This window comes from Homo sapiens, chromosome 16 (assembly GCF_000001405.40).
Source record: "Homo sapiens chromosome 16, GRCh38.p14 Primary Assembly".
Classification (NCBI taxonomy): Eukaryota; Metazoa; Chordata; class Mammalia; order Primates; family Hominidae; genus Homo; species Homo sapiens.
Window position 1 is genome coordinate 32,918,679 of NC_000016.10, and position 12,727 is coordinate 32,931,405.

Consider the following 12,727-nt stretch of genomic DNA (forward strand, 5'->3'; position numbering starts at 1 on the left):
CTTCGGCCCCCCAAAATACTGGGATTACAGGCATAAGCCACCACACCTGGACATATTGTTGTTTTTAAAATCACATATATATTTTTCATGCACGATTTTTCTTTTTTTTTTGAGATGGAGTCTCACTCTATTGCCCAGGCTGGAGTGCAGTGGCACGATCTCAGCTCACTGCAACCTCCATCTCCTGGGTTCAACCAATTCTCGTGCCTCAGCCTCCCGAGTAGCTGGGATTATAGGCATGCGCCACCACACCTGACTAATTTTTGTGTTTTTAGTAGAGATGGGGTTTCACCATGTTGGCCAGGCTGATCTTGAACTCCTGACCTCAAGTGATCTGCCTGTCTCAGCCTCCCAAAGTGCTGGGATTACAGGCATGAGCCACCGTGCCCGCCCCATCTTTCCCTGGCTGTTTTTGATTCTAGATGGACTGGAAAAGCCATCTTGATGTCAAGCGCTCTGTCTCATTGGTTGGTTGAACACCCCGGTGATATTGGCACCTAGCTTATTTCTTATCACTTCTTCTGCTTACTTAACTCTCCCTTGACTTGCGCCCTCTGGCTGGAGTCCTGTTGACACTGTCACTTCCTCTGTTTAACGCCTCGTGGACATGACTACCTGCTCCACTCACTCAGCCTTTGTTGATGTTCCCACTTCCCCTGTTTATTTAACTCCTCGTTGACACGATCACTTCCTCCATTTCCTTAATTCTTCTAAGTCTATAAAGTTACAGGAGGCTCCGAATTGGCTCCTCTAGCATGGTGAGGCGTGTGGTCTGCTGACAGGTCATAGCCTTTCCTCCTTTCTGGCTTCTCCTTTACGTATGTCTCATGACCTCAACACAAGTGGTCCAGAGAGGACAAGCAATGCCCATGAGGTCGCACGGCACATCGGGGTGTAGCACAGACATATATCAGGACTGTGCGGCCACAAGTGGTCCATGGGGTTCCTGAGATGCTGGCATTGTGGGAGCCACCCTAAATTGTCCTCTGTTGTCTCCCTGCAGTCCTTGGATAGCTGGGGCACCTCTGAAGACGCTGACGCTCCTTCTAAGCGACACTCAACCTCTGACCTCTCAGATGCGACCTTCAGCAATATCAGGAGAGAAGGCTGGTTGTATTATAAGCAGATTCTCACCAAGAAGGGGAAGGTAAGATGGGTGGAGGAATGAGGTGAAAGCTGGCTCCAGCAGAACCCTCCAGCCTCTCCTAGGCCTACCCTGACAGCCTCTGGAGCCAGAGAGAACCAGTGTAGGTTGTTGCATGAAGGATGGAGGATAGATGTTAGGAAGAACTTCCTGGCAGGGGGATTTAAAGAACTTATGTAAAAGAAGTTAACAAGAGAGGTGGATTTTGCTGTGGGATGGATCTGATCGAGTCGTGCTTGGAATTCTGGCAAAACCATCCCACAGTGGCCCTGGCTTGACAGGCCATCCTGAAGATGGCCGCTGGGGCTCATGGAAAATAAGGAGCAAGGCTGGGGTGATTTCCGTAGGAGAGTTAAGGCCCAAGAAGATGCAGGCAAGCCAGCAAAGGGCTTAGTGTTCATCCTAAGGGCAACCAAAAGCTCTCGGGGGCTCTTGCCAAGGGAGTTACAGCTTTAAAATATTCATTTGGCTCCCTGGGAGTGAGTTAGGGAGGGGCCACGCTGGAGGCAAGAAGACCAGTTAGAGCCACCGTGGAGATCCAGGTGAGAGGCAAAGGGGGCTTTGGGGAGTACTTGGGGAGGGCCTGGGAGGGAACCAGCAGGACTCTGAGAGGAGAAGGGCAGAGCCCCTGGATCCATGGGGTGCAAATCCTGGCCCCAGGCTGTGCTGTGGGCTGGAGAAGTGGGAGGAGAGACCACTGCCTTCCCTCCCGGCAATTAGGATGAACCCGGGTTTGACTCTTGACTACATCGCCCATTGCTCTGAGAGCCTGGGTGACTCACCTGGCCGTGACTCAGTGTCCTCGTCTGTAAATGGAGCTAACAGTAATCCCTAGCTCATAAGCCTATTGCTAAGGATTAAATGAGATGATCTAAGTAAAGGGTTTACCCAGTGCCCGGCACTTGAAGCTGCTGTACTTCTGCTTACTGCTATTTGTTTTCTTTTTTTGAGATGGAGTCTCGCTCTGTTGCCCAGGCTGGAGGGCAGTGGCGCGATCTCGGCTCACTACAACCTCTACCTCCTGGGTTCAAGCAATTCTCCAGCCTCAGCCTCCTGGGTAGATGGGACTACAGGCACTCACCACCAAACCCAATTAAATTTTTTTTTTGTATTTTTTTAGTAGAGACGGAGTTTCACCATGTTGGTCAGGCTGGTCTCGAACTCCTGACCTCAAATGATCTGTCTGCCTTGGCCTCCCAAAGTGCTGGGATTACAGGCGTGAGCCACTGTGCCCAGCCCACTTACTGCTATTTGAATTTTTTGCCCTGCCTTCTGGGGTCTTGAGGGTCCCTGGAAAGAACATAAGCTTTGAAGCAGACAGACTTCGAGTTCCTATCCAGCCACATATCAAGCACATGGCTTTGGGCACCCCACTTACCTTCCCCGAGCCTCACTTTCTGATCTGTACGATGGGAACAATGTTATCCTACCCCAAGGGCTGCTGTGGATTAAGTGAGGGTGAAGTCGAGGCGGGACTGATGCGCCTCCGTGGAGAATGACTAAGGCCTCCCTGCTCGGGAGCCTCTGTGGAGGTTCTGGGGAGTTAGTGGTGAGGGAGCCAGGGCAGCCCTGCCCTCCTGGGGCTCCTGTTGCTCCTGTTGAGCGGAGAGAACGCATGTGGCATCATGGTTCCAAGTGCACAGACTGCCGTGATGCCCGGGTGCAGGGGCAGGTGGGCATGGGTAGGGAGGTATCCAGAGGCTGAGACATGAAAGGATGAGAAGCCACAAAACTGGGAGACAGTGGAGGGGCCTGACAGGGAGGATGTCTCCTTAGAGGGTCCTGGGGAGAGGTGGGGAGAGGTGTGCTGGGAGCCAGGGCGAGAGGTGGAAGATGAGCTGGGGAATTGGGCGCCTGCCCAGAGTGTGGGGCCTTCATACCCAGAAAGAGCCTGTCCAGGGTTTTATTATTTTATTTTATTTTATTTTATTTTATTTTATTTTATTTTATTTTATCTATTTTTGAGACGGAGTTTCACTCTGTTGCCCAGGCTGGAGTGCAGTGGTACGATCTCAGCTCACTGCAACCTCCGCCCCCCGGGTTCAAGCAATTCTGGAGCCTCAGCCTCCTGGGTAGCTAGGACTACAGGCACCTGCTACCACACCCAGCTAATTTTTGTAGTTTTAGTAGAGACTGGGTTTCACTATGTTGGCCAGGCTGGTCTCGAACTCCTGACCTCAAGTGATCTGCCTGCCTCGGCCTCCCAAAGCGCTTGGATTACAGGCATGAGCCACCGTGCCCGGCTCTGTCCAGGGTTTTAAATGTGGGCTGGGGCTGGCAGGAGACTGGGGTTATGTCTGTGACAGGAGGAGCCAATCCCATTGCCCTTGTCCAGGTGAGTGAGGCTGGGGGCCCCAACCCAAGGCAGTGGTGTGGGGCTGGGTGGAGCGGACACTTTAGAGAGAGATTCCATGGGAAGGACGGCCAGGGCTTGCAGGCTGCTGGGAGGTATGGAAGGAGGAGGAGGCGATAAGGTTCCTGGATTCCTGGCTTGGGCTGAGGGAGGGTGGTGGGTGGTGAGACCCTCCCTGGGCCATGGCACACTGGAGGAGCAGGTTTGGGGAGAGGAAGCCAAGTGGCTCCACTTGGGCTATGTGAGTCTGAGGGCCCTGGGACAGACCCCAGTGGAGATGTCCTGGGGACAGAGGCTCTGAGGGCGTATTACTAGAGGGAGGCCCACCTGGGGACGGCCTTTGTCTGTCAGCACCCACGAGTTACATATGCCTCTGTGCAGGGGCTTGAAGGAAGAAGGCAAGAGACCTGGCTGAGCCTTGAGAGAAGTGGGGGGGCCGGGGAGGCCAACAGAGACCAAAAAGAGCCAGCAAGTTGGCAGCGACCCGTGGGGTGGGAGCCATGAGGCAAGGAGGGACCAGCCACGTGCACTGTGCGAGGAGAGCCGCAAGTGAGCCAGCCCTTCCAGTCTAACGTGTGAGCCACATGAAGGGTCCTTGTGAGGGTGGCTGGCTCCCCCTGCTGGGAAGCCTGACCCTCAGCTCCTGGGGACCCTGAGCCCAGTTCAGGGACAGGAGCTGTCCCCTTCCTGCTCACTGGCCAGTTCTGGAGGACCAGGCCTCCACTCCCTTGCTGGCCAAAACCCGATGTCACTTGTTCCTTTGGTGCTGTGGCCTGGACGTTAGAGGAGAGTCTTCAAGTCAGCCTCAGGCCCTTGGTCCACCCAGGCCATGGGCACCCTCTCTGTGCTCCCTCCCAGCCCCAGCCTCTTTCAGAGACACGGACTGTCAGGCAGAGGAGGGAAAGGGACAGTGACTTGTCCCCGCAGCCTCAGCCCCAGCATGGGAGCTGCATGCAGCCTTGGTGACCAACTCCCTCACTCATTTACCAGCCGGAGACACTGAGGCCTGGGAGTGCGGTTGACTTGTCCTAGGTCATGCCGCTGGTTTAGCCTCAGAGAGGTGCCCTTGTCACCACCTCACTGTCACATTAAAATTCTCCCTGGAGGGCTCTGCTGTCTCCTACTCTGAATGTCCCTGTCCCCCTCCAGCAGTTCTGTGATGAGCAGGGCTCACAGCTCAGGATCCACATGATGGGAGGCCAGATGTGGGCTGTGCCCATCTGCCAGCCACGGGACCTCTTTGTCTGGTTTGTTCTGAGAGCTGAGACCTGTGCTGGATGTGGAGCCACCAGCCAGCAGAGAGGAGCTCTTGGTCTGATGGGAGATGGAGCTCCTGCCCTCAGGGTGCTCCAAGGATCATTAATTCATTTATTCAACAAATATTGATGAGCGCTTGCATGCTGCTGTAGGCCCTGGGATATGGAAATGAGAGGACGGACAAGCTCCCTGTCCCCAGGACAGCCTGAGGCTGCAGTAAGTTCTTGGAAAGGATCAAGCTGATCAGAAGCGGGAGCTGCATTGAGGGAAAAATATGGCCAGAGAAGGCCTCGCTGAGGAGGTGACATTGGTGATGCTGGAGTTCAGATCTGAAGGGGAAGAAGGAAGCAGCCACATATAGAAGTGAGGGAGGGGGGCTTAGGCAGAAGGAACAGCAAGCAGAGAGGCCCTGAGAAAAGAAAGGCTTGGCTCGCTCACCTGCAAGGGCCCCCTGGCTTGACATAGTGAGAAAGGTGTGAAGATGAATTTGGAGAAAGGCAGGTACAGACCACAGGAGACTTTAGATTTGATTCTGAGGGCGATGGGATCTCTTGAGAGGATGCTGAGCATGGGAGAGATGTGATCTCCTTTTCATTCTAACATGATTGCTGCAGCTGCTGCTGGAGAATGGATGCAGGAGCAAGAGTAGAGACTGGGAAGGTCTGTGCATCCTCCAAGCAAGAGGCGTTGATGGCATGGAAAGATGTCTTTCCTCTGGCAGGAAAGACAGAGACAGGGGATGTTTTGGAGGCAGAACAGTTGTGACTTCCTGATGGATGGGATGTCAAGGGCGAGGAAAAGGGAGGAGTCAAGGGCAGCTCCCAGGTTTCTGGACAACTGGATGGATTGACTGAGCTGGAAAAGATGGGGGTAGAGAGTGGAGAAGAGGTTTGATGGTAAGAAATCACATGGCCTGGCAAGTATTGTGCAAAGTGCCCATGGGACCTGCAAATGAAGACACTGAGCAGGGTGGGGGTGCCGGGCTGTGGCTGGGGGAGATGCTGGGCTCGGGAATGGCCATCAGCAGGTGGACCTGGTTTAAAGGCATGGCACAGGTGACATCCTTGAGGGAGGTGTGCAGGGAGAGGAGAGGAGGGGAGAGTCAGGGCGAAGTTCTGGAGCTCCGCCTCCTTTAGGGCGGGGTCTGTTACCCTCTGCTCTGCTGACATTTTGAGCCAGATAATTCCTTGTTGGGGGAGGCTGTCCTGTGCATTGCGCAATGTTTAGCCGCATCCCTCAGATGCCATAGCACACCCTCCAGCTCCCTCCACACAAATGTCCCGTGGTGACGAGTCTCCTGGCTGTTTAACTACAGGTGTAGAGGGTGGGGGAGGGGAAGTAGAGAAGACTAGGAAGGAGCCAGTGGCATTAGGAAGAAAGCCGGGAACGTGGGGTCTCAGGTGCCGAGATGGGGTCTGGAGAGGGAAGGAGGGGCTGGCTGTGTCAGATGCCGCCAAGGGGTTAAGGCAAGTTGGGGAGAAGCAGCCATTGGCTTTGGCCACATGGCGGTTCTGGGTGTCCCTGAGAGGAGCTTCTGGGCAAGTGGAGTCTTGGGTGGGCGGCAGGAAAGTGGGGAGAACGACCCTCTAAGAGTGCGGACAGCTTCTGAGCAGGTTTGCTGGGGTGAGGGGCAGCCTGGGGAGGGGCGTGGGCTGGGAATGGCTTCCCGAGGATTTCATGTACGGAGGGCCATGCTGGGTGTCTGAGCATTGCCACCGCTCGGTGAGTGTTGATGCTGGTGTTTAGAGGGGGAGAGGGTTGGGGTCTGCTGGCGGGCTTTAGGGTGATGGGTAGGGGTGTCTAGGCAGGCGAGGGACTGAGAAAGCATTGGTGGGCTGTGGGCAGGAGGCTGCCCAGGTCTAGCCGGGTGGAGCAGGCGGCTCCTGGTAGGCAGCGTGGGGTCCATCCCCCGGCTGTCCGCTGTCTGCTACTGTGAGAGCAGTGGGCAGAACTGACCTCTCACCACTCCTGTTTCCCCCAACCCCGTGTCTCCCTGCAGAAAGCGGGCAGCGGCCTGCGCCAGTGGAAGCGGGTGTATGCCGCGCTGCTGGCGCGCTCGCTCTCGCTGAGCAAGGAGCAGCGGGAGCCCGGGCCGGCGGCGGCGGGGGCTGTGGGGGCCGGCGCAGGTGAGGACAAGGCGGCGCCCGTCTGCGTCGGCTCCTGCCTCGTGGACATCTACAGCGAGACCAAGAGGAGGCACGTGTTCCGGCTGACCACCGCTGACTTCTGTGAATATCTCTTTCAGGCTGAGGACCGGGATGACATGCTGGGGGGATCAGAGCGATCCGGGAGAACAGCAGGGCCGAGGGCGAGGTGAGGGCCCGGCCAGCCCGGCGGCCACAGAGGGCGGGCGGGGTGGCCTCTCACCGGCTGTGGACCTGGGATGTCCGCTCTGAGCCTCACTTCCCTCTGCTAGAAAGGGGGGCTGACAGGAGTGCACCTCGTGATTGTGTCCCCCTAGGTTTCGGTGTGACAAGGGTGCAAGGGCAGGGCTCATGGAGGACCTGGCGTCCTCGGGTGCGGGGACCAGCAGTCACCATCCTGACCCTAATGATGACAGGGATTATTGTGACTGTGTTAGGATCGCCATGAGCAGGCTCTGATGTGGAGTGGTCAGCTCCAGGCCAGTCTCAGCTTTTCTCAGCAGGCGAGGAAGGCAGGGGCCTCCTATGGAGTGTGTTAGGGCATGAGTGTCCCCACACCAGAACTGCACTGGGCTGGCCTGACTGCAGGAGGATGAACACATTGACCTTGTGAGGAGGCTGAGAGGCTTGGCCTTTGGCCACAGGTGGGCAGGGTTGGAGCCAAGGGCCTCGGCAGGGACTTTGGGAGAATTTTTTTTTTTTTTTGAGACAGAGTCTCGCTCTGCTGCCCAGGCTGGAGTGCAGTGGCGCAATCTCAGCTCACTGCAACCTCCGCCTCCCAGGTTCAAGTGATTCTCCTGCCTTAGCCTCCTGAGTAGCTGAGACTATAGGCACATGCCACCATGCCTGGCTAATTTTTTTTTAATAGAGACGGGGTTTCACTGTGTTAGCCAGGATGGTCTTGATCTCCTGACCTCATGATCCTCCCACCTCAGCCTCCCAAAGTGCTGGGATTACAGGTGTGAGCCACTGCGCCCAGCCGAAGAATTTTTTTTAATGGCGCCCATTGCGGTCAGCCGTAGCTACACTCCAGGGGCCTAGGTAGGGATTCCTCCCTGTTTACTTCTTTGGCCAGGAGCCTGCACAGAAGTGCCTTGAGACACCCACACAAAGTCATGTGGGCATCCCGGGCCTGGGGTCTCTGCCAAGAGGGCAGTGGGCCTGGGCCTGCTCTGGCCGTGGGAGGGGGCGCTAGTGCATGGCCTCTTGCTGAGGACACATCCTCTCGCTGACCAGGCTCTGCTCTCCCGGGAACAGCTTTCCCCACTGCAGGGAGGAAGGCACCTGGAATTTGGGCCTCCTCCTCTGGGGGCCTGGCTTGGCTGTCTCCAACAAGGCTTAGTCAGGGGGGTTCCAAGTCACATCACTATGGCAGTAGCAGTCCCTCCTGGGGCACCTCCTCCATGCCTGCTCAGCATCTGCCAGGAAAGTGGCGAGTGCTGCATGATTCTGCACCCAGCCCCGAGCCTTCCCTTTTAGCCCCCCATGTTTATTACCGAGGAGACTGAGGCTCAGAGAGCCTAAGAGGCTTCCCCAAGGCCTCAGCTGGTGAGAGGGTGCTGGGGAGTCCAGGCCTGGTCTTTCTCACTCCAGGGTCTGGGCTGTCCACCTGGCAGGTGGACAAGAGGGGAAGCAGGGCTAGGGATGAACCCAGGGGTGGGCTGGCTGTGGGCACTGACATGATCCGCTCTCTCCTCTCCTGCTTCAGGACCCCGGCTGTGCCAACCAAGCTCTGATCAGCAAGAAGCTTAATGATTATCGCAAAGTGAGGTGAGGCCTAGCCCTCATGGAGCAGTCTCCTCTGTGGGGGTGGTAGGGGGCTGAAGGCAGAGGATGTCTTCCTGGACCACCTCCAGGGCTGCCCTCTGCTGGGGAAAGGGGTATCCAGGGTATCCAGGGTCTCCAGGCTGCAGTTTGGCATGGAGGCATTGCCTCAGGGTGGAGGGGATGTCCCGAGGGGCAGGAGGCCAGGGTGGGTGGCCTGCTTGGCCACCCCAAGTGAAGACCTCTCCTCTCCCCCTTTTTCCTACACAGCCATAGCTCTGGGCCCAAAGCTGATTCCTCCCCCAAAGGCTCTCGCGGCCTGGGGGGCCTCAAGTCTGAGTTCCTCAAGCAGAGTGCGGCACGTGGCCTCAGGACTCAGGACCTGCCCGCAGGGAGCAAAGGTAGGAAGGTGGCCACTGAGACAGGGTGGTGTGTTGGGGAAGAGGGCATGGAGAGGGGAGAGCATGTGTGTGTGTGTTGGGCTGTGTCTGCTCGTGTGTGCCTGACTGTGTGCCAGGGTTACCGGTATGTCTGTCTGCATGTGCATGCCTGTGAGGGTCTGGGGGCTCTCAGGGTCTTGGGGTGGAAGGGCCTGGAGCCTGATTCCCCTCCCTGACATCCCTGCTGGGTGGTCCTCTAATCTTTGCTGGTGTCTCCGCAGGGATGAGAGGCCCACCCTTTCCAAGAGCAACCTTTCCCATTTCCCTCACCTTTGGCTATTAGAAAGTTCTTACCTGGCTGGGCAAGGTGGCTCACACCTGTAATCCCAGCACTTTGGGAGGCCAAGACAGGCAGATCACCTGAGGTCAGGAGTTCAAGACCAGCCTGACCAACATGGCGAAACCCCAACTCTACTAAAAATACAAAAGGCCGGGCACGGTGGCTCACGCCAGTAATCCCAGCACTTTGGGAGGCCGAGGCGGGTGGATCACAAGGTCAGGAGATCGAGACCATCCTGGCTAACACGGTGAAACCCCATCTCTACTAAAAAACACAAAAAATTAGCTGGGCGTGGTGGCAGGCACCTGTAGTCCCAGCTACTCAGGAGGCTGAGGCAGGAGAATGGCATGAACCTGGGAGGCAGAGCTTGCATTGAGCCAAGATTGCGCCACTGCACTCTAGCCTGGGTGACGGAGCAAGACTCCGTCTCAAAAAAAAAATACAATAAAAGTACCCGGGCGTGGTGGTGTGCACCTGTAATCCCAACTACTTGGGAGGTTGAGACACGAGAATCACTTGAGCCTGGGAGGTGGAGGTTGCAGTGAGCCGAGACCACACCACTGCACTTCAGCCTGGGTGACAGAGCAAGACCCTGTCTCAAAAAAAATAAATTAAATAAATAAATAAAAGAAAGTTGTTCCCTTGGGCCAGCAGGCATGGTGGCTGACACCTATAATCCCAGCATCATTTTGGGAGGCTGAGGCTGGAGGATTGCTTGAGGCCAGGAGTTTGAGACCAGCCTGGGTAACATAGCAAAGTCCTATCCCTACAAAATATTTTTTTATATATTATTTATTTATTTAGAGACAGAGTCTTGTTCTGTCACTCAGGCTGGAGTGCAATGGCATGATCTCAACTCATCGCAACCTCCACCTCTTGGGTTAAAGCGATTCTTGTGCCTCAGCCCCCTTAGTAACTGGGATTACAGGCATGCGCCACCCCGCCCGGCTAATTTTTTTTTTTTTTTGAGACGGAGTCTTGCTCTGTTGCCCAGGCTGGAGTGCAGTGGTGTGATCTCGGCTCACTGAAAGCTCTGCCTCCTGGGTTCACGCCGTTCTCCTGTCTCAGCCTCCTGAGTAGCTGGGACTACAGGTGCCCGACACCACATCTGGCTAATTTTTTTGTATTTTTAGCAGAGACGGGGTTTCACCGTGTTAGCCAGGATGGTCTCGATCTCCTGACCTTGTGATCCGCCCGCCTCGGCCTCCCATAGTGCTGGGATTACAGGCGTAAGCCACTGCACCCGGCCCACGCCCAGCTAATTTTTGTATGTTCAGTAGAGACAGGGTTTTGCCATGTTGGCCAGCTGGTCTCGAACTCCTGGCCTCATGTGGTCCTGCCAGCCTCAGCTTCCCAAAGTGCTGGGATTACAAGCATAAGCCACTGTGCCTGGCAGAAAAATTTTTTTTAATTAGCCAGGTGTGGTGGTATGAGCTTATAGTCCCAGCCACTCGGGAGGCTGGGGAGGGAAGATTGCTTGAGCCCAGGAATTTGAGGATGCATTGAGCTATGATCATACCACTGCACTACAGCCTGAGTGACAGAGACCCTGTTTCTAAAGAAACAAAGTTCTATGGCTTCCGCCTTGTAGTTTTGGCCCACGAGCCACACAGAAGTCCTTGCATTGCTCTGGGCCTCTCCTTTGGGGTAAGCATCCTCCCCTTCAGGCCTTCTCTCTTGCCATACAATGTCCCATCAGCCCTGGGCATCTGGTTTCTTCTCTGATGGAATCCCCATACATCCAAATGTGTGAATGTGGCAGTGAATGTGTGCGACCCTCCTGGATACTCCAGCTCACTCTGGCTCTGTCTCCCCCACTTCAGATGACAGTGCTGCAGCCCCCAAAACCCCCTGGGGCATCAACATCATCAAGAAAAATAAGAAGGCTGTCCCAAGGGCATTTGGGGTCAGGCTGGAGGACTGCCAGCCAGCCACGGAGAACCAGGTGGGTCTCTGCCACACGCCAGAGCAGGCCCGGCAGGGGGAGACCAAGGCACAGAGGGTCAGAGCAGCAAGGGACATGGAACAAGCTCTCCACCTCATTGTACAAACACAGCTGGGAAAACAGCCCAGAGAGGGGAGGCCTGCCCTGGGCCTCCCAGGGAGGGAGCAGCAGGGCTGAGGCTGAGCCCGGCTCCTTCTCAGACCATGGCGAGGCTTTGGTGTCATTTGTAGCTCCCAGACTGGAGGCAGCAAGGGCCTTTTGTTCCCCCCAAGGGTTCCTGGCAGCAGCTCTGGGCCTTGCATTGTCCCCTTCTTGGCCTCCCCAGCTCCTCTGGCCCCTGTCCCCCCTAACACCCCTCCCCTGTGTCCCCAGCATGTCCCCTTAATCGTGGCTGCATGCTGTCACATTGTGGAGGCACGAGGGCTGGAGTCCACAGGCTTTTACCGAGTGCCTGGCAACAATGCAGTGGTGTCCAGCCTACAGGAGCAGCTCAACCGTGGGCCTGGTGACATCAACCAGCAGGATGAGGTGGGTGAAGCTGGGGGGTCTGTGGAAGGGGGGCTGAGATGGTGTGTGGGTGGTGCTCTGCTTGGAGAGTTCTGTGTTCTATTGTGTTGCATGCATTGTGCCCTATGACATGCCCGGCATTGGTCCAGAACACCAAGATGGGCAAGATGGGAACTGCCTCTGCTGGCCAGCCTGGGGATGGGCATCACCCCAGGCTGAAGCTGACCAAGTAAATGCAGTCATGGCCTGGGGAGCTCTGAGGCAGAGGCTCACAAACAGCAGTTTTGTCCAAGTGTTTAGGATGAGTAGAGTTCACCAAAGGCCGGTGAAAGCTAGGTGAGGGCATTCCAGGCAGCAGAATGGCCTGCGCGATGGTGTAGACGCGAAAGTGTGCCAGGAGTCAACCAGCTTTCTCTGTAGAAGGCAGAGAGTAAATATTTTCTGCTGTAGTTTGCTCTGTTGCATTCCCCCCTTCTCTTCCTCCTCCTTCTCTTCCTAATCCTTTAACAACGTAAAAACCATACTTAGCTCAAGGGCCATCCAAAAGAAGGCTGTGGCTAGATATTGCCTACAGATCATGTTTTACAAACTGCCGTCTTAGAAAAAGGGGAATATATGATGTTTTCTAGAATGGCCAGCCATTTGGGTGGCTGCAACATGGAAAGAGAAGTGGCTGATCAGGCGAGATGAGACCAGCCTGTGAAGGAATCTGCAATCACACTTAAGTGTTTCCAGTAGGGCCGGCGATTCTCAAAGGGTGTTCTCCAGAGTCCTAGGGTTCCCCAGAGGGGCCTTGGGAGGCCAGGGTCAGGTCAGGACCCCGTGTCCTTGCTAGAGCAACCCTCCTTTGCCCTGTCTGTTGTACTGGGTTTTCACGTACAATTTTATTTGCC

General features: G+C 55.8%; 1 pseudogene; it reads left to right on the top strand.

Annotated features, from left to right (window-relative positions):
- Positions 1-926: 926 nt before the first annotated feature.
- The window catches only part of LOC124903682 (rho GTPase-activating protein 23-like), a 28,929-nt pseudogene continuing 17,128 nt past the window's right edge, over positions 927-12,727 (top strand).